This window comes from Homo sapiens, chromosome 19 (genome assembly GCF_000001405.40).
Source record: "Homo sapiens chromosome 19, GRCh38.p14 Primary Assembly".
Classification (NCBI taxonomy): domain Eukaryota; kingdom Metazoa; phylum Chordata; class Mammalia; order Primates; family Hominidae; genus Homo; species Homo sapiens.
Genome location: NC_000019.10, coordinates 41,928,787 through 41,951,710, shown reverse-complemented (window position 1 = coordinate 41,951,710; position 22,924 = coordinate 41,928,787). Strand labels below are relative to the sequence as shown.

Here is a 22,924-nt window from a genome sequence, read left to right as displayed (position 1 = left end):
CTCAGAGGCCAGGGTTCCAATCCCAATTTTGGAGTAGCAGAGGGTGTTTGTTGACCTCAATGCCAGTATTCCCCAGGGGAGACTGAGTGTCCGTGCCCATGTTGGTGAGTGGACGCTAGGTCCAGTCTACATCGCTGGGTTTGCAGTGAATATGATCGAGGTGCTTTGCTTGGAGGCTACTGATGCCAAAGACCCAAGCACTCAGTTCTGAGATCACTGAGGCAGCAGGCTAGAGCTGCGGGTCAGGGGGAGGTTGGTACTCAGGCCAAAGGCCTATTCTGAAGGCAACTGGCTACAGGTCTCAAATTCTGGTGTTGAGTTATTGAGATGCTGAGACCAGAAGCTTCCATCTGGGGTGATCAAGACTAGGGTCCCAGGGCCGGAGGTGGTGGTTCATGCCTGTAATTCCAGCACTTTGGAAGGCCAAGACGCTTGAGCCCAGGAGTTCAAGATCAGCCTGGGCAACATAGTAAGACTCCATCAAAAATATGAAAACCTGCCAGATGCGGTGGCTCATGCCTGTAATCCCAGCAAGTTGGGAGGTTGAGGCAGGCGGATCACGAGGTTAGGAGTTTGAGACCAGCCTGGCCAACATGGTGAAACCCATCTCTACTTAAAAAAAAAAAAAAAAAATATTATCCAGGTGTGGTGGTGCACGCTTGTAATCCCAGCTACTTGGGAGGCTGAGGCAGGAGAATGGCTTGAACCCAGGAGGTGGAGGTTGCAGTGATCCGAGTTCGCGCCATTGCACTCCAGCCTGGGCGAAAGAGCAAGACTCTGTCTCGAGAAAAAATAAATAAATAAATAAAAATAAAAACAAAACTACAGTACCATTTCTCTGTCTCTCCTGAACAACCTTGAGATTCGAGGTTTGGTTTGGGGTAGGAGAAATTGGAGGGCTTGCTGTCTCATCAAGGGGACAGAGACCAAAGGTCTTGTCTATTTTGGTGACAGTCTGGGATCCAGCTGGCTGGTTGGAAGTGACAGATTGGGAATCTGGTGGTCTTGTTTGGTGATATAGCCTGGGATCCAGTTTCTGATTTGGGGTAATGGTAATTGGAGATCTGTTTGGGAGGCCAGGAGTTTGAAAGCAGCTTGGGTCAAAAAATGAGGTCCCGTCTCTACAAAAAAAAAAAGAAAAAAGAAAAAATTAGCTGGGTATGGTGGTGCATGCCTGTGGTTCCAGCTGCTTGGGAGGCTGAGACAGGAGGATCACTTGAATCCAAGAGTTTGATGCTGCAGTGAGCTAGGATCATACGCTGCGCTCCAGCCTGGGAGACCCTGTCTTTAAAAAAGAAAATGGGTTCAGTTCTCAATTTTTTTTTTTTTTTTTTTGAAACAGAGTCTCACTCTGTCGCCCAGGCTGGAGTGCAGTAGCGCGATCTCCGCTCACTGCAACCTCCACCTCCTGGTTTCATGCTGTTCTCCTGCCTCAGCCCCCCGAGTAGCTGGGACTACAGGCGCCCACCACCACGCCCGGCTAATTTTTTTTATTTTTAGTAGAGACGGGGTTTCACCGTGTTAGCCAGGATGGTCTCGATCTCCTGACCTCATGATCTGCCCGCCTCGGCCTCCCAAAGTGCTGGGATTACAGGTGTGAGCCACCACGCCCAGCCCAGTTCTCTTTAAGTGACAGATTAGGGACTTGCATCTGGTTGGTGTGACAGGAACCAGTTGTTGGAGGTGGCAGAGACTAATGTTCTTGTCTAGGTTGGGGTGATGGGGGCTGAGATTCTAAGGTCTGTTTTGGGGTGATAGACTGGGTTCTGATTGTCTAGTTTCTCGTGGCGAAGACTGGGACTTCTGGCACCTCCTTAGGGGTATTGGATGTAGAGTCTTGGCTCTTTTGAGGTGACACTGGGTTGAGACTGAAATTTAAGGTTTGGGGTACCAGACTGAGGGTTTGATGACCAGTTTAGAGCAACAGTAACTGGGGATCTGGTGAACTCCACTGTGGTATCTGATACTGGAGGTCTGGTTATCTCACTTTGGTGCCAGAGGCTACCAGTCCAATTATCTGGGTGGGGTTACAGAGGCCACAAGACTGGCCAACTAATTTTGGCTAAAGACCAAAGCCCTGGGGGTCAGGGCCTTGGCTTGGGGTGGAAGACCTGGGGTGACCAGTTGGGGGGATCAGCGCCTTGGCTTGGGGTGGAAGACCTGGGGTGACCAGTTGGGGGGATCAGGGCCTTGGCTTGGGGTGGAAGACCTGGGGTGACCAGTTGGCTAGTTTGAGGCTGCAGCCATTATAGGTCTGGTTGCCTAGTTGGGGTAACAGACTGGGATCTGGTTGGATAGTATGGGATGCTGGAGATCGGGGTTCCAGATGTCCAGTTTGGGACAACAGAAGTGGGGGTTAGCCTGGGAAACAGCAAGACCCTGTCTCAATAAAAAATAAAAATAAATCAACCAGGCCTGGTGGCGCGTGCCTGTAGTCCCGGCTACTTGGGGAAACTGAGGTGGGAGGATTACATGAGCACAGGAGGTCCAGGCTGCAGTGAGTTATGATCGCACCACTGCACTCCAGCCTGGGTGAAAGAATGAGACTCTTGTCTTGAAAAAAAAAAAAAAAAAAGAAACAGAAGTGGGGGTTTCTTTGCCTAGATTGGGGTGGCAGAATCAGGGGGTTCTGGTTTCTAATTTTGTGGGATAAAGACTGGGATCCCAGGACCTAGCCTGGGGCACAGAGACTGGGAAGTTGAATTTGGGGTGACAGGGGCTAGGAGGTTAGCTGCCTAGTTTGTAATGACAGATATTAGGGATCAGTTGTCCAGGGTGAGATGAAATGATAGGGGTTCCAGGGTCTAGTTTAGGGTGACATAGAATGGAAGTTAGCTTGTCTCATTTGGCATGAGTGGGACCAGGGGTCTGGCCGTCTAGTTTAGGAGACACACTGGATGGAGTCTGGTCGAGCAGATGAAGATGAATGGGACTGTGGGCCCAGGTCTCTAGTCTGAGGTCACATTTTATGCAACGTGTTGCTCAACGTGGTGTGACAGACCCTAGAAGCCTAGAAGTACAATTGTCCCGTTTGGGGTGGCAGTGTCTGGGGGTTGGTTGTCTAGGGCTGTGAGACAGAGACTGGGTCCCAGGGTGATGTATTCAGGGTAACAGAGATGGAGCATTTGGTTTTATAGTTTTGTGGGGAGAAAACAGAGACCAGGGAACATGTGACCTCATAGACTCTGGAGGTCCAGTTGCCTAGTTTTGTGGGACAGAGGTTAGGATCCCTGGGTATATTTGGGGTGACAGAGACTGGGGTCTGGTTGTCTAGTGTTGAGTGACAGAAACTGGGGGTGCCAAGCAGTATTTGGGGCAAAGAAACTAGGGCTAGGTTGTCTAGTTTTACAGGACAGAGATGGGTCCCAGAGTATATATGGGTGACAGAGACTGGGTATCTGGTTGTCTGCTTTTGGGAAACGGACTGGGGCCCCTGCATGTATTTTGGGTAACAGAAATGGGGTCTGGTTGTGTAGGTTGTTATACAGAGATCATTGTCCCAGTACATTTGTGAGGTGACAGACTAGCTTGCTAATTTAATTTAATTTAATTTTTATTTATTTATTTTTTTGAGATGGAGTCTCGTTCTGTCACCAGGCTGGAGTGCAGTGGCACGATCTCGGCTCACTGCAACCTCTGCCTCCTGGGTTCAAGCAATTCTCCTGCCTCAGCTTCCTGAGTAGCTGGGACTACAGGCATGCGCCACCATGCCTGGCTAATTTTTTGTATTTTTAGTAGAGATGGGGTTTCACCATGTTGGCCAGGATGGAGTCAATCTTCTGACCTCATGATCCGCCTGCCTTGGCCTCCCAAAGTGCTGGGATTACAGGTGTGAGCCACCGTGCCTGGCCTTATTTTATTTTTTTAGACAGAGTCTCATTCTATCGCCCAGGCTGGAGTGCAGTGGTGCGATCCTGGGTCACTGCAACCTCCACCTCCTGGGTTCAAGCGATTCTCCTGCCTCAGCTTCTCAAGTAGCTGGAATTACAGGCACCTGCCACAACGCCCGGCTAATTTTGTACTTTTAGCAGAGATGAGGTTTCACCATGTTGATCTGGCTGGTCTAAAACTTCTGACCTCAAGTGACCTGCCCCCCTCGGCCTCCCAAAGTGCTGAGATTACAGGCTTAAGCCACCACACCCGGCCTATTTTATTTCATTTTATTTTTGAGACAGGGTCTTACTCTGTTGCCCAAGCAGGAGTGAGGTAGCGCAATCATGGCTCACTGTGGCCTTGACCTCCCCGGGCTCAAGTCCCACCTAGGCCTCCTGGGACGTGCCACCATGCCCAGCTAATTTATTTTGTTTTGTGTTGTTTTGATAGAGACAGGGTCCCACTATGTTGCCTAGGCTGATCTCGAACTCCTGGGCTCATCCACTTGCCAATTTCTGGTGACAGTTTAGGTCTTGTTGTCTATCTTGATGTGCCAGACATTACTCATCCATGTCATGTTTGGGGTGACAGAGACTACTGGTCTTGCTTTCTAGTTTGGGGTGACAGTGACTGGGGTCCTTTTGTCCAGTTTGAGCTGACAGTGATTGGGGTTCAGTTGTCCATTTGGGGGAGGCAGAGACTGGGATCAGTGGTCTAGTTTGGGGTGATGAGACCAGAAGTCAAGGCCCGGCCTTGGGGTAACAGAGATGGAGATACAGTTTCCCAGTTCTGGGTGGCAGAGACTTCCTAGTTTGGGGGACAGAGACTTGGGGCATAGTTGTGCAGCTGGAGGGATGAGGCTGAGGGGTGCCTGTTTTGACTTGGGGCGGCAGGAGCTGTCATTTCAGTCCTCTAGTCTGGGGCGCAGAGTCTAGGGTGCTGGTCCCTTCTAAACATGGCTGAGCCTGAGAGTGCTGATGCCTGAATGTTCCTGGGACAACTGAGTCAAGGGTTTCCTGTACTCAGGTGTGGGGTCTCTGAGTGAGTGTGGCCAGCGGTGTGGAGCTTTGTGTGAAGGTCACTGAAGCTAGGAGTCTGGGTATTTGGAATGGAGGTGTCAAGAGGTCAGGGCCCCAGGACTCAGGACCCACTTGAGGAGTGCTTCATGTCTATGACATGGAGGGCCAGTGTTTTCAAAGCACCTCCACACCTGTGGGTGGCAGTGATAGAGACCCCTGGGGGAAGATGGAGACTGAGGCTCTAATGCCTGGCCTAGGGGTCGCTGTGGCTGGGGCACAGGTAACCTTGGGATTTCTGGCCCTGGAGACCCAGCTGCCCTTTACTGGACACAAGAGGATCCTGTGGGTCTAAAGCCTAGTCTGGACCGGGTGCAGTGGCTCACGCTTGTAATCCCAGCACTTTGGGAGGCTGAGGCAGGTAGATCGCCTGAGGTCAAGAGTTTAAGACCAGCCTGGCCAACATGGTGAAACCCCATCTCTACTAAAGATACAAAAATTAGCTGGGGTGTGGTGTGCGCCTATAATCCCAGCTACTTGGGAGGCTGAGGCAGGAGATTCGCTTGAACCTGGGAGGTGGAGGTTGCAGTGAACCAACATTGCGCCACTTGCTCTGGGCAACAGAGCGAGACTCCATCTCCAAAAAAAATAAAATAAAATAAATAAAAATAAACTAGCTGGGCTGTAGTCCCAGCTAGTCCCGCCAAGGTGGGAGGATCCCTTGAGGGCAGGAGTTCAAGAGTAGCCTGGGCAACATAGTGAGACCCCATCTCTACAACAAAAAACAAAAAAATTAGCTGGGCACAGTGGCAACTGCCTGCAGTCCCAGCTATTCAGGAGGCTGAGGGAGGACCTCTTGAGCCCAGGAGTTTGAGGCTGCAGCGAGCCATGATTGCACCATGATTGCACTCCAGCCTGGGTGACAGAGCAAGACCCTATCTCAAAAAAAAAAAACCCTAGTTTGGGGGCAAATGGTTGGTTGTGGTAGTCAAGATGCATTGTTTATGGGTGACTAACACTGAGGACTCAGATTCTCACTTTGAGAAGATGGATGCTGGGGCTCAAGATCCTGAATTTGGGGTGCCTGGAGTTCCTCCTGCCCAGTTCTGGGCACGTGTGAGCCCTTGTTCCTGTTTTGGGACACCCAACACCCAGCTCTAGATGTCTGCAGTTGTGTGGCTTCGTCACTGAGGCCGGGGATGGGGGCTACTGACACCCACATTAGTGACGACAGTGGGGGCCTACTGTCTAGATTAGAAGTGACTTCCTGTGGCATTTCACCTGTCATGTTTGGGGTGAGTCAGTTCGGAGACTCAGGTGTCAAGTCTAGGGTGACTGGTTTTGAGGTTTAGCGGTGACCGAGGTTGGCAGCCCACATGTTGATTTGGGGGTCCTACTGATTACCTTAGGGCTGACTGAAGTTTGGAGCTCACTTGCTTAGTCTGGGGGTCACTGAGCCTGGGTGCCCCAGGCCCTAGTTTTGGGGACATCTGAGACTGGGAGGCTATATGCAAAGTGTGTGGGTGGGTGGCTGTGGAGCTCAGATGCCTATTTTGAGAGTGACTTGCTGTGGTTTTGCTGACCTTGAGGCCCTGAAGGTTAATTTAGGGGTGAGTGAAACTGTGGGCCTGTATTCTTTTTTTTTTGTGGAAATGGAGTCTCGCTCTGTCACCCAGGCTGGAGTGCAGTGGCGTGATCTTGGCTCACTGCAACCTCTGCCTCCCAAGTAGCTGGGACTTGGGTTCAAACAATTCTCCTGCCTCAGCCTCCCAAGTAGCTGGGACTACAGGCGCACGCTGCTATGCCCAGCTAATTTTTTTGTATTTTAGTAGAGACAGGGTTTCACTGTGTTGCCCAGGCTGGTCTCAAACTCTTGAGCTTGGGCATTCCACCTGCCTTGGCCTCCCAAAGTGCTAGGATTACAGGCGTGAGCCACTGCGCCCAGCCTGTGGGCCTATATTCTAATCTGGGAACAAATTAAGGCTGGGACCCTAAATCCAAAATAGAAGTGACTTACCATGATGTTCAGTTAGGGAGTTCTGAGGCTGGGGGCGTGGTTCAGAGCCCAAGTTTGGGGCTCAAATCCAAAATGCCTTAGATTGTGGGTAGTTGTGGCAAAACATTCAGATGTCTAGTTTAGGAGTGTGTAATCCCAGCTGCCCAGATGTTGAGGTTGGGATGACCATCTGAGAGCCCGAACATCAATCTGGGGTGACAGCTGGGGCCCAGATGTCCCTCAGCAGATCCAGTGCCAAGCTGGGGTTGTGTCATCAGATGCCTCCTGGGGGTGTCACTCTCGTGTATGAGAAGCCCATCTTTGGGAGATTAAGAGAAGGCAACCAGATGTCTGGTTTGAGGGCTACTAGTTATGAGTTCCTAACATTTATATACAATTTGGGGCTCACTGAGTCTCAAGACCTAGTTGCCAGGGTTTGTGGTTATTTGTACCTAGTTTGGGGTGATGGAGTTTGGGGTGTTGTTCCTTTTTTTTTTTTTTTTTTGAGACAGAGTCTTGCTCTGTCACCCAGGGTGGAGTGCAGTGGTGTGATCTCGGCTCACTGCAACCTCCGCCTCCTGGTTCAAACCATTCTCATGCCTCAGCCTCCTGAGTAGCTGGGATTACAGGCGCCCACCATAATGCCCAACTAATTTTTGTATTTTTAGTAGAGACAGGGTTTCACCATGTTGGCCAGGCTGGTCTTGAACTCCTGACCTCAGGTGATCCGCCCACCTGGCCTCCCAAAGTGCCGGGATTACAGGCGTGAGCCACCGTGCCCGGCCCGGGGTGTTGTTCCTTAGTGTGGGAATGTCTGAGGCTAATCACCCAGATACCTAGTTAGGGGTGACTGACACAGAGACTCAGATCCTCTGGGAGGCTCAATGCCTGAATTAGGAGTGGCTTCAATCGGATTTTTTTTTTTTAGACAGTCTTGCTTGCTCTGTCGCCCAGGCTGGAGTGCAGTGGCGCGATCTCAGCTCACAGCAAGCTCCGCCTCCCGGGTTCACACCATTCTCCTGCCTCAACCTTCCAAGTAGCTGGGACTACAGGCGCCTGCCACCACGCCCGGCTAATTTTTTTTTTCTTGTATTTTTAGTAGAGACAGGGTTTCACCCTGTTAACCAGGATGGTCTCGATCTCCTGACCTTGTGATCCGCATGCCTCGGCCTCCCAAAGTGCTGGGATTACAGGTGTGAGCCACTGTGCCCGGCCCCCCCACCTTTTTTTTTTTTTGTGAAGAGGTCTCACTGTCACCCAGACTGGAGTGCAGTGGTATCATCACAGCTCACTGCAGCCTTGATCTCCCAAACTCAAGCGATCCTCCCGCTTCAGCCTCCCGAGTAGCTGGGACTAAGCCGTGCACCACCATGCCTAGCTAATTTTATTTTTGTAGAGGTGAGGTCTCGGTATGCTACTCAGGCTGGCCTCCAACTCCTGGGCTCAAGGGATCCTCCTGCCTCGGCCTCCCAAAGTGCTGGGATTACAGGTGTAAACCACCGCGTCCGGCCTCTTCTTGTCTGTTACCAGGTCCCTTAACATGGATTGAGGGCCCACCCCAGCAACTCAGGATAATCCCATCTCAAGATCCTTCATTTAATTGCATCTGAATAGACTCTTCCTGTAAGGTCACATTAGCAGGTTCTGGGGTTAGGATGTGGACATACCTTTTTGGGGGGCCACCATCCAACCTGCTATGAGGGTGTTTGAGGCAGGTACTCTAAATCCCAAGTTCAGGTCTCTCTGATTATGAGCTTCTTGGTGTTTGGATTAGGAAGACTGACCTTGAGGGTCAGCTGCACATACCTGATTTGGGGGTTCTTGACTTGCCTACTTCTGGGGGTAACAGCCTATGGGGTGCTTAGTGTAGGGTGACTGAAGTTTGGGGACAAAAGGGGTAGTTTGGAGATCTGAGCTTCAGTGCCACAGAGTCCTCCTAACTTTGGGGGTGTCTGAGGTTGGGAGGCTAGATGCTGAGTTCGTGGGGTAACTTAGAGGGGTCTCTAACTCTTATGAGTGGGGGTGAAAGCTCAGATGTGTATTGTAAGGGCAGGTGATGCTGGAATTCCAGGTGCCAAGTTGGGGGGCTTCTAAAGCTGCTGGTCGACCAGGAGTGGTGGCTCATACCTGTTGTCCCAGTTACTTGGGAGGCTGAGGCAGGAGGATCACTTGAGCCTGGGAGGTCGAGGCTATAGTAAGCCGAGATCATGCCACTCCAGCTCCAGCCTGGGCAAGAGAGCAAGACCCTGTCTTTAAAAAAAAAAAAAAAAAAAAAAAAAGGCCAGGTGCGGTGGCTCATGCCTGTAATCCCAGCACTTTGGGAGGCCGAGGCGGGTGGATCACGAGGTCAGGAGATGGAGACCATCCTGGCTAACACGGTGAAACCCCGTCTCTACTAAAAATACAAAAAAATTAGCCAGGTGTGGTGGTGGGCGCCTGTAGTCCCAGCTATTCGGGAGGCTGAGGCAGGAGAATGGCATGAACCCGGGAGGCGGAGCTTGCAGTGAGCCGAGATCACACCACTGCACTCCAGCCTGGGTGACAGAGCAAGACTCTGTCTCAAAAATAAATATATAAATAAATAAATAGCCAGGCGTGGTGGTGGGCACCTGTAGTCCCAGCTGCTCAGGAGGCTGAGGCAGGACAATGGCGTGAACCCAGGAGGTGGAGCTTGCAGTGAGCTGAGATCGCACCACTGCACTCCAGCCTGGGCGACAGGGAGACTCCGTCTCAAAAAAAAAAAAAAAAAAGTTGGTTGTCCACATGCATAGGTTAGGGTGACCAATGATTGGGTCTGGATGCAAGGTTTAGGGGTGATGCTACGTAGAGACCTACATGACTAGTGTTAAGGTGACTTGCTGGGGCATTTCGGAGGTTCCTTGGTTTAGTGGAAACTGAGTCTGGAGAGCCAGATGTCTAGTTTGGGGGAGCCTTAGGGTGGGTGAGGCCCAGATCCTCATTTTGACTTGAGTCTGAGGATCCAGTTGTCACATTTGGGGTTGCCCAGTTTAAGGGTGTTTGAATTTCAGTCCCATTTTCTAGTTTGTATGTGTTGAGAATGGGGTCACATGCTGAGTGGGTGATAGCAGCTGGGGCCTACTTTTGTAGATCGTGGGTGGTGTATCTTGGGGTCCTGATGAGGTTTAATGAGGAAAGTCTAGTTTAGGTGTGCCAAATTTGGGGCCCCAACGTCTAATTTGGGGGTGACAGTATGGGGAATACATGCCTAGTTTGGGGGGGGCTTGTGGTTACTGATGCTTATTTTGGGGTGACTGAGCTAAGGTCCATTTCCCTTATTCTCTGAGTGTCTTGGGCTGGAGGACTTGTTTGGGGGTGAATGGAGCTGGGCCCCAGAATCCTCATTTTGGGCTGTCTGGAGCTAGGCTGGGTTATCACCTTCTGTTTGTGAGTCGGGGTAGCCATTCGCTCCGCCTGGGGTGATCCAGGCCCATGTCTAGGTCTGATCCCAGGGGTCTTCAGTCCATGTGAGGGCTTCAGAGGGAGGGTAGGGGTTCGAAGGCCTGGTTTGTGGGTATCTAGATGCCTCCTTTGGGGGAATCTCAGTCTAGGGTCCTGAGGTCCTAGGGATCTAGTCCCAGGGGCTGGGGGAGCCAACCCCAGTGCTACCCCCCAAGGCGGGGCCTCTCCTGGGGGTGTTCGGGGAGGCAGTCCATTTGTGGGTGACCGACTTGGGGAAATAGGTGGTCCTGGTGGGGACTGATCGGGGCCAGGCGTGGTGGGGGTGGGGGCGCTGCTGCGCGGAGCCGGCTGAGCCCCCGGGGCTGGCTGCAGCGGGGGTTCCCGCGGGAAGCGGAGCGCGGCGGGGCAGCCGGCGGCGGGAGGGCGAGCGCCGGAGTGACAGGAGAGGAAGAAAAATGGGCCGAGAAATCAGAGTGGACGCGCGGGGGGCGCGAGTCCGGGAGCGGGCGGCGGCGGCGGCGACAGGCGGGGTCCGCGCTTTCTGCCTCGGGGGACGCCGCCCCCTCGCCTTCCCGGATCCCCGCCCTTGGAGGCTGGGGCCGGCGATCCGACCCCCTCCCCTAATTCCAATCCTGCACCCACTCCCGCCTTGTTCCAGTCCCCGCCACTCCCATCTTCCAAGTCCCCTCTCGCGTCCCCGACGGCCCCCTCCCGCTTTCTCTTTTCCTTCGGGGACTTCTATTCACGTTCTCCGCGTTCCAAGCCCTCCCCGCCACGTTCTCCTGCCCACTCCGCCTGCGTTCTAGCTGAGCCACCCACGTTCTAAACTGGCTCTGCGACCGAACCCCCTTCCCCTCCATGCCCTGAGCCCCCTCCCCTTTCCTGAATCTGTCCCTGCCTTCCAGTCGCCTCTTTTTCAGCAGCCCCCGGGATCCCCCCCACGTCCCCTCCAAAGGTTTGAAGCGGAAATGGGGCGCGCGGCGGCGGGGGAGGGGCGGGGCGGGGGCAGCGGCCAATGGAGCGGGAAGCAGGACAAATGAGGCCCGGCCCGCGCGGCCGACAGGCCCCTCCATCTTCCCATTAGCGCCTAATGGCCCCCCCGCCGCCGCCTGATGAAGATTTATCGGCCCCGGAACCCCCGCCCCTCCGCCCCCGGGCTCCCCGCGCCCGCCAGGCCTCGCCCTGCCCCCGCCCGCGCGGACACCTGATGAAGCCGTCACCGCGGGGGAAGGGGACGCCCGAGACGTCTCTCGGCCGAGACCCGATGAGACAGGCGCGCAGAGACGCCGAGGGGCGGCGAGAAGACAGTTCCGGGGCCGCGGAGTCAGGGTCCTCGAGAGGGAGTGGAGGGGAGGGTCTGACCCGCAGCCGAGGGAGCTCCCAACTGTGAATCCGACCCTAGTGCTGTGTCCAAGAGGCCGGCGCGGGTGGGAGAGGGGGGCGGCTGCCCGGAGGACCAGGCAGGGTTTTCAGGCATCCGAGGGAGGTTAGAGGTGGGGGCCCGGAAGCCGGGTCCTGCGACAGAAGTGGACTCCCGACCAAGCTGGGACCAGGAGAGGCAGGGACCTGGACTCATGGGTCTGAAGGAGGAAACTGGGGTGGCCTGGACTCCTGGGTCTGAGGGAGGAGGGGCTGGGGGCCTGGACTCCTGGGTCTGAGGAAGGAGGGCCTGGGGGCCTGGACTCCTGGGTCTGAGGGAGGAGGGGCTGGGGGCCTGGACTCGGGTCTGAGGGAGGAGGGGCTGGGGGCCTGGACTCCTGGGTCTGAGGGAGGAGGGGCTGGGGGCCTGGACTCCTGGGTCTGAGGGAGGAGGGGCTGGGGGCCTGGACTCCTGGGTCTGAGGGAGGAGAGGCTGGGGCCTGGACTAGTGGGTCTGAGGGAGGAGGGGCTGGGGGCCTGGACTCCTGGGTCTGAGGGAGGAGGGCTTGGGGCCTGGACTCCTGGGTCTGAGGGAGGAGAGGCTGGGGCCTGGACTCATGAGACTGAGGGAGGAGGCTACTGGGGGCCTGGACTCCTGAGTCTGAGGGAGGAGAGGCTGGGGCCTGGACTCATGAGACTGAGGGAGGAGGCTGCTGGGGGCCTGGACTCCTGGGTCTGAGGGAGGAGGCTGCTGGGGGCCTGGACTCCTGGGTCTGAGGGAGGAGGCTGCAGGGGTGCCTGGACTCCTGGGTCTGGGAGAGGAAGGTCTGGGGGGCCTGGACTCCTGGGTCTGAGGAAGGAAGGGCTGGGGGCCTGGACTCCTGGGTCTGAGGGAGGAGGGGCTGGGGGCCTGGACTCCTGGGTCTGAGGGAGGAGGGGCTGGGGGCCTGGACTCCTGGGTCTGAGGGAGGAGGGGCTGGGGGCCTGGACTCCTGGGTCTGAGGGAGGAGACGCGGGGGGCCTGGACTCCTGGGTCTGAGGGAGGAGGGGCTGGGGGCCTGGACTCCTGGGTCTGAGGGAGGAGAGGCTGGGGCCTGGACTCCTGGGTCTGAGGGAGGAGGGGCTGGGGGCCTGGACTCCTGGGTCTGAGGGAGGAGGGCTTGGGGCCTGGACTCCTGGGTCTGAGGGAGGAGAGGCTGGGGCCTGGACTCATGAGACTGAGGGAGGAGGCTGCTGGGGGCCTGGACTCCTGGGTCTGAGGGAGGAGAGGCTGGGGCCTGGACTCATGAGACTGAGGGAGGAGGCTGCTGGGGGCCTGGACTCCTGGGTCTGAGGGAGGAGGCTGCTGGGGGCCTGGACTCCTGGGTCTGGGAGAGGAAGGTCTGGGGGGCCTGGACTCCTGGGTCTGAGGAAGGAAGGGCTGGGGGGCCTGGACTCCTGGGTCTGAGGGAGGAGGGGCTGGGGGCCTGGACTCCTGGGTCTGAGGGAGGAGGGGCTGGGGGCCTGGACTCCTGGGTCTGAGGGAGGAGGGGCTGGGGGCCTGGACTCCTGGGTCTGAGGGAGGAGAGGCTGGGGGCATGGACTCCTGGGTCTGAGGGAGGAGAGGCTGGGGCCTGGGCTCATGAGACTGAGGGAGGAGGCTGCTGGGGGCCTGGACTCCTGGGTCTGAGGGAGGAGGCTGCAGGGGTGCCTGGACTCCTGGGTCTGAGGGAAGAGACTGCTGGGGGCTTGGATTCGTGAGCCTAATGGAGGAGGGGCTGGGAGCCTGGACTCGTAGGTCTTGGGGGAAGAGGAAGCTGGGGTTTTAGACTCCTGGGTCTGAGGGAGGAGGGGCTGGGGCCTGAAATCTGGGGCCTGGGGGAAGGAGGAGGCTGGGAGCCTCCACTCCTGGGCTCTAGGCTGGGAGCTTGGCTCTGGGGGGGCTGGGTTGGGAGGCCCCTGATTGATTTCTGTTTACCGGCTGTCCCCGCAGGCGGAAGAGCGAATCGCGCCCCATCCATCAACAGGCTCGCAGCCTCCCTAATAAAAACATTTTACTCCTAAATGATCTCGAACTAATTAACTCAAAGTGTTAATTAAAGTTTGCGCAGACAGCATTGTCATCAGGGAGGGCGGTGGATCCATCTTCCTGAGAAAGAGACAGGGTTTGGGGGGGCTCCCATCCCCCTCACTGCTGAGCCCTGTCCACTGCTCTGCCCTGTGGCCTCCAACCTCCCCTCGGGGGCTCTCCGCGTCTGTCCCCACTCTCAAGCTCTTCTCTGAGCTCTTCACTGGTCCGTCTCTCTCATCTCTCACTGTTAGCCCGTCTGAGTTTCTGTGTCTCCGTCTCTTGCCTCTCTTGCCAGAATGCTGTGTCCCCAGGGTTCCCACCTCCGGTTCATGTGGTGCTTTTATGTGTCTATGCGTTGGGGTTATGTGTGTGGACCACGTATGTGTGTCAGAGTTTGTATGTGGACACACATGTATGTCAGAGGAGATGCATGGTGGCTTGTGTGTGCACATGTGTGTTTGAACCCGGGGTGTATGTGTTAGAGTTTGCATGGGCACAGGCATATATGAGCCCAGAGCTATGTGTGTGTCTGAACATGAGGTCCATGCAGACAGGCAGGCTGTGGGACCCGACCAGGTGTTTGAGGACCTCTAGGGGCCCCTTGCTTGGCAGGCCAGGCAGGAGCAGGGGCCATAGGTGCACTGGGTGGGCAAGGGACCAAGCTCAAGTTCACTGGGCCCCTCTCCCCTTCCCCCCTCTCCTATAGTCCACCGCCGGCAGGGCCAGGGAGCCCAGGACAGGCCACCAGGCCATGGGCACTGGTGGGGTGGCTGGCTGGGCGGCCCCAGTGTGAGCTCATACATCAGGGCTGACAGGCTCCAAAAGCCCCGGAATTAAAACCTAAATCGAATATTGATCACCCACTCCGGCCGTGGCGCCCACAACGGCCCCCCCAGCTCCCTCGCGCTTGCTCCCTGCTCCCTGGTTCTCAGGCGTCACCGCTGTCCTGTCTCTCCGTCTTTCTTGCCTCCTCTCTCCCCAGCTTCTCCGCACCCAGGCCTTCCTCTAGTGGCCCCAGCAGGTGCCCCCTCAGGCAGAGACAGAGACAGAGGCTGAAAGAGACACAGGGACATGCGGATGCAGAAAAGAGACCCAGACACAGAAATAGTTCAACACAGACCTGCAGACAGACCCAGAGCAGGCAACACACAGACAGACAGACAGACACGGCACACAGTCATCCACAGACTTACACACAGGGAGTCACACACAGCCACACCCCAAAAGTCACACTGATACAGACACACACCACACAAAAATGCTGCCCACAGGACGCACATACAGAAAGTGCCAGACAGGCAGACAGACATACCCACAAGCCCACAGAGTTACCGTCACACGCAGGGTCACCGAGACCTGAGTGTAGTGACACAGGGACAATCGCAAAGCAAGTTACACCAACATGGGCAGAGCGAGACAGAAGATACACAGTCATATATGCAGGCAGACACAGAGACACACTGAGCTCCCAAGTGGCAGGGAACACACTCCCTGTCTGCCCATTTGCACTGATCCTGACACAGCGGCCACCTCCCTCTGACTCAGCCCCCAGACACCACCCCCACTCTTGGATCAAGAACCCAGAAAGCCCCACTGCACGGGGAGGAGGCTCCCAGACCTCATCCCCCAACTCTGAGCAGCCCCTTCCATGTCCCAAAGGTCCAGGCTGGTCCAGGAAGGTAACTGGAGAGATGGACCCCAGAGAGGGCAAGGATTCCCCAGCCAGAGAGGGACAGGGACAGGGCTAAGGTCATGCTGTCCAGGGAAGGCCGAGGGATCCAGGGTTCTAGTCTCTGAGACCACCTGTAGGATTGAGGCGAGACAGTGGGAAGAACTTCCCCAGACCACTAGGGCTGGGGCTCCCCAGAGTGAGCAGGGGTGCTGCCCCACCCCCACCCCCACCCTGAGGCTTCCCGGCTGGGGCGGGCAGCCTTGGAGGCGGGCGGTGGCGGCTGCCTGGGAGAAGATGAATCTTTCATGAGTGATTTGCGGCCGCCTCTTCTCGTCCCGTGTTGTTTAATGTTTCAATTTGGGCGAAAGCAAAACATTCAATCAGGCGGATTAAGTGCGTAATGCGTCTCATCGCTCAATCTGTCGCCTCCGCCGGGCAGCCCGCCGGGTGGGGGGGGAGCCTGGGAGGGGGTGGCGGGCAGAGACCCCGGCCAGGGGAGACTGTTCCCCAGCAACTCTCCTAGGCTTTGCCACAGGGAGCCCCTCAGCCTGGAATCCCCGCCGGGCTCCGGGCTCCCCCCACATACCGCTCTCTGCTTCATCTCCGGGTGTCCACTTGGCTTGGGGAGCCCTGATTTCTCCGCATCCGTCTGTCTCTCTGTGTGTGACCACCTGTCTCTCTTTCTCTCTCTCTGTCCACCTCTTTCTTCTGGGTGTGTCTGCGGTTCCCTCCGATGTCCGTCTGTCTCTCCATGAGTGCCTGCCCTTGTCCCTGTCCACCTGTCCTCTTCGCTGCCTGTTCTCTGGGTTTTCTCCCTCCTTTAGACCTAGCTCCCATCCCTCTGTCACTGTCCATCTGTCCATATGGCTCCTGTCCTGTCTCTTGTACTGTCTGTACCCAGGTCTCACCAGCCCAGCCTCTGTCTGTCCAAGAGTCTCTCTGTCACCCTCACCCTCTGCCTGCCGTCTGCTGCAGACCCCCTGTGTCCTCCATCTTTCCCTGTCCATCTCCAGTTCTAGCCCTGAACTCACTCCCCGGTCTCTCTTTCTTCTCCACCAAGGTCGAGTCCTCAATCCTGTCGGCCTGACCCCAGCCCACTTCTCTATTCATCTTTGTCCCTGTCTGTGTCCGCCTGTCTGTCCACCCATCTCCTCCTTCTCTCTTCCCTCCTCTCTCTCTCCCTCTCCCCTGTCTCTGCTCCCACTTGGGTCAGCGCCTCTGGCTTCCCTCCTTGACCTGTCAGTTCCCTGTCCCTGGTCTGGCCTAATCTCCATGTCCACTAGGGGGCAGCAGGCACAGGCTTTTCTGGAGGGGAGGCTGGTGATGGCTCGGGGGCTTCCCAGCCAGCCCTGTTACTTACTTGTCTGCTGACTATCCTGTCCATGGGGTGTCCCAGCCCCACTCCCTCCTCCCTCAGACCCAGGAATCCAGGCTCCCAGCCCCTCCTCTCTCAGACCCAGCAGTCCAGGCCCCCAGTCCCTCCTCCCTCAGACCCAGGAGTCTAGGCCCCCAGCCCCTCCTCCCTCACACCCAGGAGTCCCGGCCCCCAGCAGCCTCCTTCCTCAGACCCAGGAGTCCAGGTCCCCAGGCCCTCCTCCCTCAGACCCAGGAGTCCAGGCCCCCAGGCCCTCCTGTCTCAGACCCAGGAGTCAGGCTCCCAGCTCCTCCTCCCTCAGACCCAGTGGGTCCAATCCCCAGCCCCTCCTCCCTCAGACCCAGGAGCCCAGGATCTGAGACCATCCTCCCTCAGACCCAGGAGTACAGGTCCTGGGTCATCTCTCTCAGAACCCAGGGGTCCTATCCTCTACCCGCCTCCTCTCTCTTCCTCCCAGGCAGCCTGTGACCTGCTCAGGGATAAATGGAGATTTCAGCTGGGGACTGACAGGCACTAACCAGAAATGTTGTCACCATTGCCTGCAGCTGAGACCCAAGGGACTGGGAGACCAGGGACCCACAGCATGTGCAGGCACACGGACAGGGACACAAACAGATTGTGTGTGTGTCCAGGAAACACAAACGTCTAATGGGATATGGGATTCAGTCAACATGCAAGGACACACAGACACCAGCCAACACACATGCACACCAGATCTCAGGGACACACACACACACACACACACACACACACACGCTGAGCTTCTGCCCATTCAGGGCAACTGACTTTGGGGACAGCGTAGATAGGACAGGAGGATCTCCCCAAACTCTCATCTCCAGATTGGCCCTCAGCCCCAAACCCTCAGCCTCTGCCCTTCTCCTGGCACCCTTGCCCCTTCCTCCCCACTTCCTGGCAGGTTCTCAGCCTCTTGGCCCCTCTCCTACCCTCTGCCCCCCACCCCTCCACTCTGCCTCTCTGGCCTCTCCTCTGCCAGGCTCGCTTTTCTCTGTTGCTCATGCTCCGCACACCCTTCAGCCCCTCTCCCCAGTTCCCTAAGTTCCTGTTTCTCAGCCTCTCACTTCTGTGTGTCTGTCTGTCTGTCTGTGTCATCAGTTTCTGCTGCCCAGTCCTCCATCTGTCTTTTTCTCTGAATTGTCTTTGTCCATTTCTTTGCTTCTCTGTAGCCAGTTAGTAACATCTGGGATTTTCTCTCTGAGCCACTCTCAATTTGTCTCTCTGTCGCCCTTTCTTAGGGTGTCTCTGCTCTCTGAGTCTCTCTGAATGTCCCTGTGTCTCTCTATAACTCTAGGCTTTGCAGTCTCCAAGTTTCTCTTCATGTCTCTGCATCTCTGCATCTCTCTTCTCTCTCTCGTCTCTCTCACTGTCTGTTCCTGTCTCCCTGTCTCTGTCTCTCTGTCCATCCATCTCTCTCTCCCAGCCCCTCCCTCCCTCCCCCTCTTTCCCTCTCTGTCTCACTCTTCGCCTCTCTCTTTTCTCTCTCAAGTGTTTTCAATTTTATTCTGAGTGGAATTAACTACCCCTGATGTCAAATTGCCGCCGAAATCGATAATAATATCTTTACAAAAGAGGATATTCTTCTCTCGGAGAACGGCCTCTGAAAAATGGAAAATTTAGTCGAAATTGATTCATTACTTGACACTTTATAGAACGGCTGCGTATTGATCGCACCTGTCATGTCCCATCTCCCCTAATCGAAGCTGAAGGCCGGCTCCGATGCCTGCTATTTTTCATAATTCCACCGCAGCCGACAGCTCCACAAACACCACCGCTCGCTCAGCCTCCGCCTCCCCGGGCCGGCTGCCACCTCGCGCCCTCGGCCTGGCCCTGGCCCCGCCGGCTGCACTGCACGGCCCGTCCCTCCGTCCATCTGCCCACCAATTCTGCAGACGCCCTGTGTCCATCCTCCCCTCCTTCCTGGCCACTCTCCCCTTCTGTCTGTCTGTCCCTCCTGCCCCAGCCCCAAGCCCTAAGTTTGTCTGTCCTTTTCCTGGACCAGCCCCCACATCTGTCTCCAGTCTTCCAACACCCTCGCCCATCCTTTCCCTCACCCTTGTCTGTCTGTCTGAATTCCCGCCCCCAGGCACACACCCTGGCTGGCTGCCTCCCCGTGCTCTCCTGGCTCCCATCTGTCCTGTGTCTGTCTGCCCTCCTTGCATCTTGTTCGTCCCGGGCCTTCATCCTTCACCTTCCAGGCCCATCTCGGTCCATCTTCTCCCACCCGGGATAGGGGTGGGGTGAGGGAGGGGTGGCCATGCTGTTTGTTTGCACCCCTCTCCCAGCTGACTGGACTCCCCCATTCCCTCTGCTCTCCCCAACATCCACAGCAGTGTGGCTTGGCCCAGCTCCAGGCCCGGCTCCCCGGGGACTCCCCGTCCTTCTCCCCAGCCCCTCTCTGCCTGCTTTCTCCTCACCTCCCTCCCTGCTCTCTTTAACGTCCTCTCCCTGCCTCCCTCCTCCCCTCTCCCTCCCTCCCTGCCTCCTCCCCAGGCCCTGTGGGCTAGGCTTTGCCCTCAGCAGGGACCCAGAGATGAATCAGGCACAGGCCCTGCCCACAGGGAGCCTCAAGCCCCGAGGGATCGGGGATGGTGGGCGGTCATACTGAGCCAGAGGACACAGTGGTAGGGTGGGCCCTGCTCTGGGAGGACGCAGAGCCGTGCAGGCAGGGCGCTTGTCTGCGCAAGCTCCTAGTCTAATATGGGGGCAGCGGGGAGGGCAGGGTGGCCTGGTGGTTAAGAACACAGACCCCTCGGCCAGGCTGCTTGGCTCCAGGTCCCCTTCCAATACTAACTAGCTGTGTGACAGCCGGCAAGTGATTCTGTGCCTCAGTTTCCTCATCAGTAAAAGTGGGGGTGACGCTTATAACAGCATCTACCTCTTAGAGTTGTGCCGTGAGACTTGCTTGAGTTAATCTGTGTATAGAGTTTAGGCCACTGCCAGGCACATCCCATTAAATGGTCCTTGTCATGACTATTGACATGCTGGGATTTGGGCCCCATTCAACCTCCCCTACCCACACCACCCCCACCTTCCCTTTTGTTCCTGTGGTTCCAGGAGGGCTGCAGTGGTGGGGAGAGAGTTAAGGAGATGGAATCTTGGGGTGGGGGGCTCCTGGTTTCACCCTCTGTCACCTTTAGTGGTTTCAGCTGCACCAGGAGGCATCTTTGTTAAAAGCAATCTCGAGAGAGCCGATAGCCCTCACGGAGGGGTCCTCTTGCTCTTGGGGGTTTCAAGAGTCTAGAGGATATTACAGACCCCAGAGGTATGCTCTCTCCTTCACGGGTAATAAATTCAGTCCACTGGGTGTTAGAGGCTGGTGAGGGTATTCTCCTGCTCCCTCTCTCTGTCTCCCTCTCTCCTAGGGGGCATTAAACACCCTGAGGGCGTCCTCTCTCAGTGGGGTATTAACTACAGTCTTCTGCTGCTGCAGCCTCCCTGGGGATGTTAAGTACAGCTTAACGATCCCCCTCCTGTGAGACGCTTCCTTCAGCCAAGTAGGCAGAGTTGGCAACACTGCTAACGAGGGAACGTGTGCCCCTGCCGGCCGCGGGCGTGCTGTGCAGTGAGGGGTCTCTTTCACTGAGCACCTACTATGTGCCTTACACAGCGCTGCACGCTCTGGTCTCCTTTTCACAAATCCTCCCGAACCCTAGGACTCAGAGAGGGAGCATAAATTACTCCAAAATGCACAGCCCCCAGAGGTGTTCCAGAAATCAAGACGGTGTCTTCTGGGGGTGGGGGGTGCTGAGGGTGTTCTAAACAGTCAGACGGGTGCTGTTCCCATTCCTACCGGTGTGTGGGATGCACAAGGCAATGGGTCCTGGCCCCCCCAACCCCAGCCCCAAGAGCATCAGAGCTCTCCTTGGGGGGTCCTCCCCACCCTCTGATTGGGCATTGCAAGACCCTCAAAGGTGTTAACATTACAGTCCAGGTGTTTCTGACACCTGGGGACGTTTTCCTGTCTCCCAGAGGGGCGTGGTTTAGAGATAAAGTCTTAAAGCCCTATTGACTGATGGTCTTTGCTATCTTAAGGGTGTCTGTCCCTCACATTCCAAAGATGTTCTATTTTCCAGTAGGGTGTCGTGTATGGTGTGATAAACTGTATCTCTCCAGAGGATGTCCTATCTTACTGAAGGGTGTTATCTACAGTCAATTGAGCTCTTTCTGCTTAGAAGGTGTTCTGTCCCTCTTCACAGGGGTTTAATGGTCATGAAATGCATTCCAGTTGGTGTACTTGAAGCCTTAATGGTGTCCCAGCTCTCTTGAAGGGTGTAGCCAAGGAGTCATATCTACCCAGAGGGTGTCACCTTTCTCCCAAAGGGTGTCCTGTGTGGGAGGAGTCCTGCCTTCCAGAGGGTGTTCCGGAACCTCCTCCTTGGCTTTCAGAGCCAAGAGGGGGCTCTGTAGTGTGCTGGGTGTAGAGGGGGAATGCTCTCTGTAGTGTGCTGGGTGTTACAGATAAACTCAGAGATAGACACAGATACACATACACAGACCTGCCATCTACACACGCAGCACACACGTGCATACCGTAATACAGGAAGTGGGAACACACGACCCGTACATGGAGACATTCAGGCACACGCACAGAAACATATGCACAAACACTGTAGCTGGTGACCTGTGTTCAAGTAGGCTGTGGACAGTCCCGGGGCTGTTATGGACACCCAGAGAACCATGGCTCTGGGGGAAAGGGTCGTAAATGGAGCCCAGTGAAGCCTGTTGGCTCCTTGAAAGAATGTTCCCTTTCAGACAAGTGAAGGTACAGACAAGTGAAGGAATTCTTGTTATCTGGCAAAATTCTTAATATTTTTAATGAGATTATTCGGAAGCAGCAAGCTCACAGCAAATGCGTGTTTACTTGGTACTTGGTGCAGTACCAGCTGTGCTCCATGCGCCCTGCGGTTTAACCTTCCCAACCACTCTAGGAGGGAGGTCATTATTGTCCCATTTTGCAGATGAGGAAACTTGAGGCTCGGGGATGTTTAGCGACTTGCCTGAGTGAGTGGTGAGCGGGAGTGAGGCTGAACCTTCTCTGTCAGGCAGGGCTGAAGTTCTCTTCTAGCCTCTCAGCACCTCGGTCTCAGCACCTGGGCGCTGGTGGGGTTGGTGAGATCCGACAGAGCTGTCCTGGCCCCTGAATATCCACCTGGGGACTGCTGTCTTGCCGTGAGACCTATTTTCCCCTCTAGGGGTAGAAGCCTCCAGGGGCTGCCCAGGTGAGAGCTGCCTTTCCCCAGAGAAGGTGGTGTGGGACTTGGCGGGGCGGAGCCTGACCTGGGAATGGGAGAGAAAAGTCGGGGGTGGTGGGTTGGGGAGTGGAAGCGGGAGAGAGGGCAGGGTGAGGGGCAAGGGGCGAGGGGCAAGGGGCAAGGGAGGGAATAGGAGGGTAGACAGTGAGGGTGAGGGTCAGGTTGGGCCAGGAGGTCCGGCCGGCCGGGAGCTGAACTGTGGGTCTGACCCGCCCTGAGGCTGGTCGATATTGACTTGTTATTTCAATGGGAGCAGATCTGGCTGGGCAGGGCCCTTTCCTGTCACTGTAGGTGTGCGTGTGTGTGCCTGTGACCTTGTGGGAGTGTGAAGGGGAGTGTCAGTGTGCCAGCCCTGGGTTCTGCCTATGTGTTAGTGAGGGCTTGTGTGTCCAGGCTGTGTGTTGGGAGTGGAGTGTGGCTGTGTGTGCATCTGGTTGTCTTTGTGTCCAGTTTGTGGGTCAGTGGATCAGGGAGTGGCTGTGGGTTGGGGAAGGTGTGGTGTGCAGGCTGTGTTTGTGCATATGTTTCTCTGTGTGTGCCTGAATGTCTCCGTGTACCGGTTGTGTTTCCACTTCCTGTATTACGGTCCGCATGTGTGTGCTGCGTGTATAGATGGCAGGTCTGTGTGTGTGTGTCTGTGTCTGTCTCTCTGTAGGGTTGTGTGTCCCTGAGTGTGTGTTTGCACTGTCTTACTGTATCCATATGTCCCTCTGTCCGTGTATCTCCTATCCAGGCTGCGTGTGTGCGGGTCCGTGTTCCAGTCCCGGTCCAGGCTTGCGTGTCCAGCAGGGGTCCTGGACGCATCGTCGCCACCTCCACCTCGCGCCTGTCCGTTTGTCCGCGCGTCCACTTAGGGAGGAGCGGGGCGGAGGAGAAGGGAAGGGGAGAGGAGG

General features: G+C 56.1%; 1 protein-coding gene across 6 annotated transcripts in view, besides 9 other annotated features; it reads right to left on the bottom strand.

The window, feature by feature from the left end:
• Positions 6,293-6,342: an enhancer, noted in NCBI's record as "active region_14694". NCBI's record gives its function as "activates an Ori minimal core promoter by ATAC-STARR-seq in GM12878 lymphoblastoid cells {active_cell/tissue: GM12878}" and the evidence as "EXISTENCE:reporter gene assay evidence [ECO:0000049][PMID:35858748]".
• Positions 6,793-6,902: an enhancer, noted in NCBI's record as "active region_14693". NCBI's record gives its function as "activates an Ori minimal core promoter by ATAC-STARR-seq in GM12878 lymphoblastoid cells {active_cell/tissue: GM12878}" and the evidence as "EXISTENCE:reporter gene assay evidence [ECO:0000049][PMID:35858748]".
• Positions 11,268-11,347: a silencer, noted in NCBI's record as "silent region_10678". NCBI's record gives its function as "represses an Ori minimal core promoter by ATAC-STARR-seq in GM12878 lymphoblastoid cells {active_cell/tissue: GM12878}" and the evidence as "EXISTENCE:reporter gene assay evidence [ECO:0000049][PMID:35858748]".
• Positions 11,408-11,467: a silencer, noted in NCBI's record as "silent region_10677". NCBI's record gives its function as "represses an Ori minimal core promoter by ATAC-STARR-seq in GM12878 lymphoblastoid cells {active_cell/tissue: GM12878}" and the evidence as "EXISTENCE:reporter gene assay evidence [ECO:0000049][PMID:35858748]".
• Positions 13,945-14,014: an enhancer, noted in NCBI's record as "active region_14692". NCBI's record gives its function as "activates an Ori minimal core promoter by ATAC-STARR-seq in GM12878 lymphoblastoid cells {active_cell/tissue: GM12878}" and the evidence as "EXISTENCE:reporter gene assay evidence [ECO:0000049][PMID:35858748]".
• Positions 14,035-14,104: an enhancer, noted in NCBI's record as "active region_14691". NCBI's record gives its function as "activates an Ori minimal core promoter by ATAC-STARR-seq in GM12878 lymphoblastoid cells {active_cell/tissue: GM12878}" and the evidence as "EXISTENCE:reporter gene assay evidence [ECO:0000049][PMID:35858748]".
• Positions 16,357-16,856: an enhancer, noted in NCBI's record as "H3K4me1 hESC enhancer chr19:42439007-42439506 (GRCh37/hg19 assembly coordinates)". NCBI's record gives its function as "activates a minimal SCP1, AML or CMV promoter by ChIP-STARR-seq in primed H9 embryonic stem cells {active_cell/tissue: H9 hESC(primed)}" and the evidence as "EXISTENCE:reporter gene assay evidence [ECO:0000049][PMID:30033119]".
• Positions 19,969-20,500: an enhancer, noted in NCBI's record as "OCT4-NANOG-H3K4me1 hESC enhancer chr19:42435363-42435894 (GRCh37/hg19 assembly coordinates)". NCBI's record gives its function as "activates a minimal SCP1, AML or CMV promoter by ChIP-STARR-seq in naive H9 embryonic stem cells {active_cell/tissue: H9 hESC(naive)}" and the evidence as "EXISTENCE:reporter gene assay evidence [ECO:0000049][PMID:30033119]".
• ARHGEF1 (Rho guanine nucleotide exchange factor 1) overlaps positions 21,570-22,924 on the bottom strand; it is a 46,958-nt gene continuing 45,603 nt past the window's right edge. For 4 of the 6 annotated variants that reach the window (NR_173092.1, NR_173095.1, NM_001396003.1 and 1 more), the window contains one exon: positions 21,570-22,056. Coding sequence is in view for 2 of the 6 variants with exons in the window: in NM_001396003.1 (NP_001382932.1) it covers positions 21,968-22,056 (89 nt within the window). In the remaining 4 variants the exon portion in view is untranslated. Of the gene's footprint in view, positions 22,057-22,716; positions 22,881-22,924 lie in introns of all 6 variants that reach the window. The other 2 variants (NR_173096.1, NR_135626.2) reach the window with 2 other exon arrangements.
• Positions 22,365-22,865: an enhancer, noted in NCBI's record as "H3K4me1 hESC enhancer chr19:42432998-42433498 (GRCh37/hg19 assembly coordinates)". NCBI's record gives its function as "activates a minimal SCP1, AML or CMV promoter by ChIP-STARR-seq in primed H9 embryonic stem cells {active_cell/tissue: H9 hESC(primed)}" and the evidence as "EXISTENCE:reporter gene assay evidence [ECO:0000049][PMID:30033119]".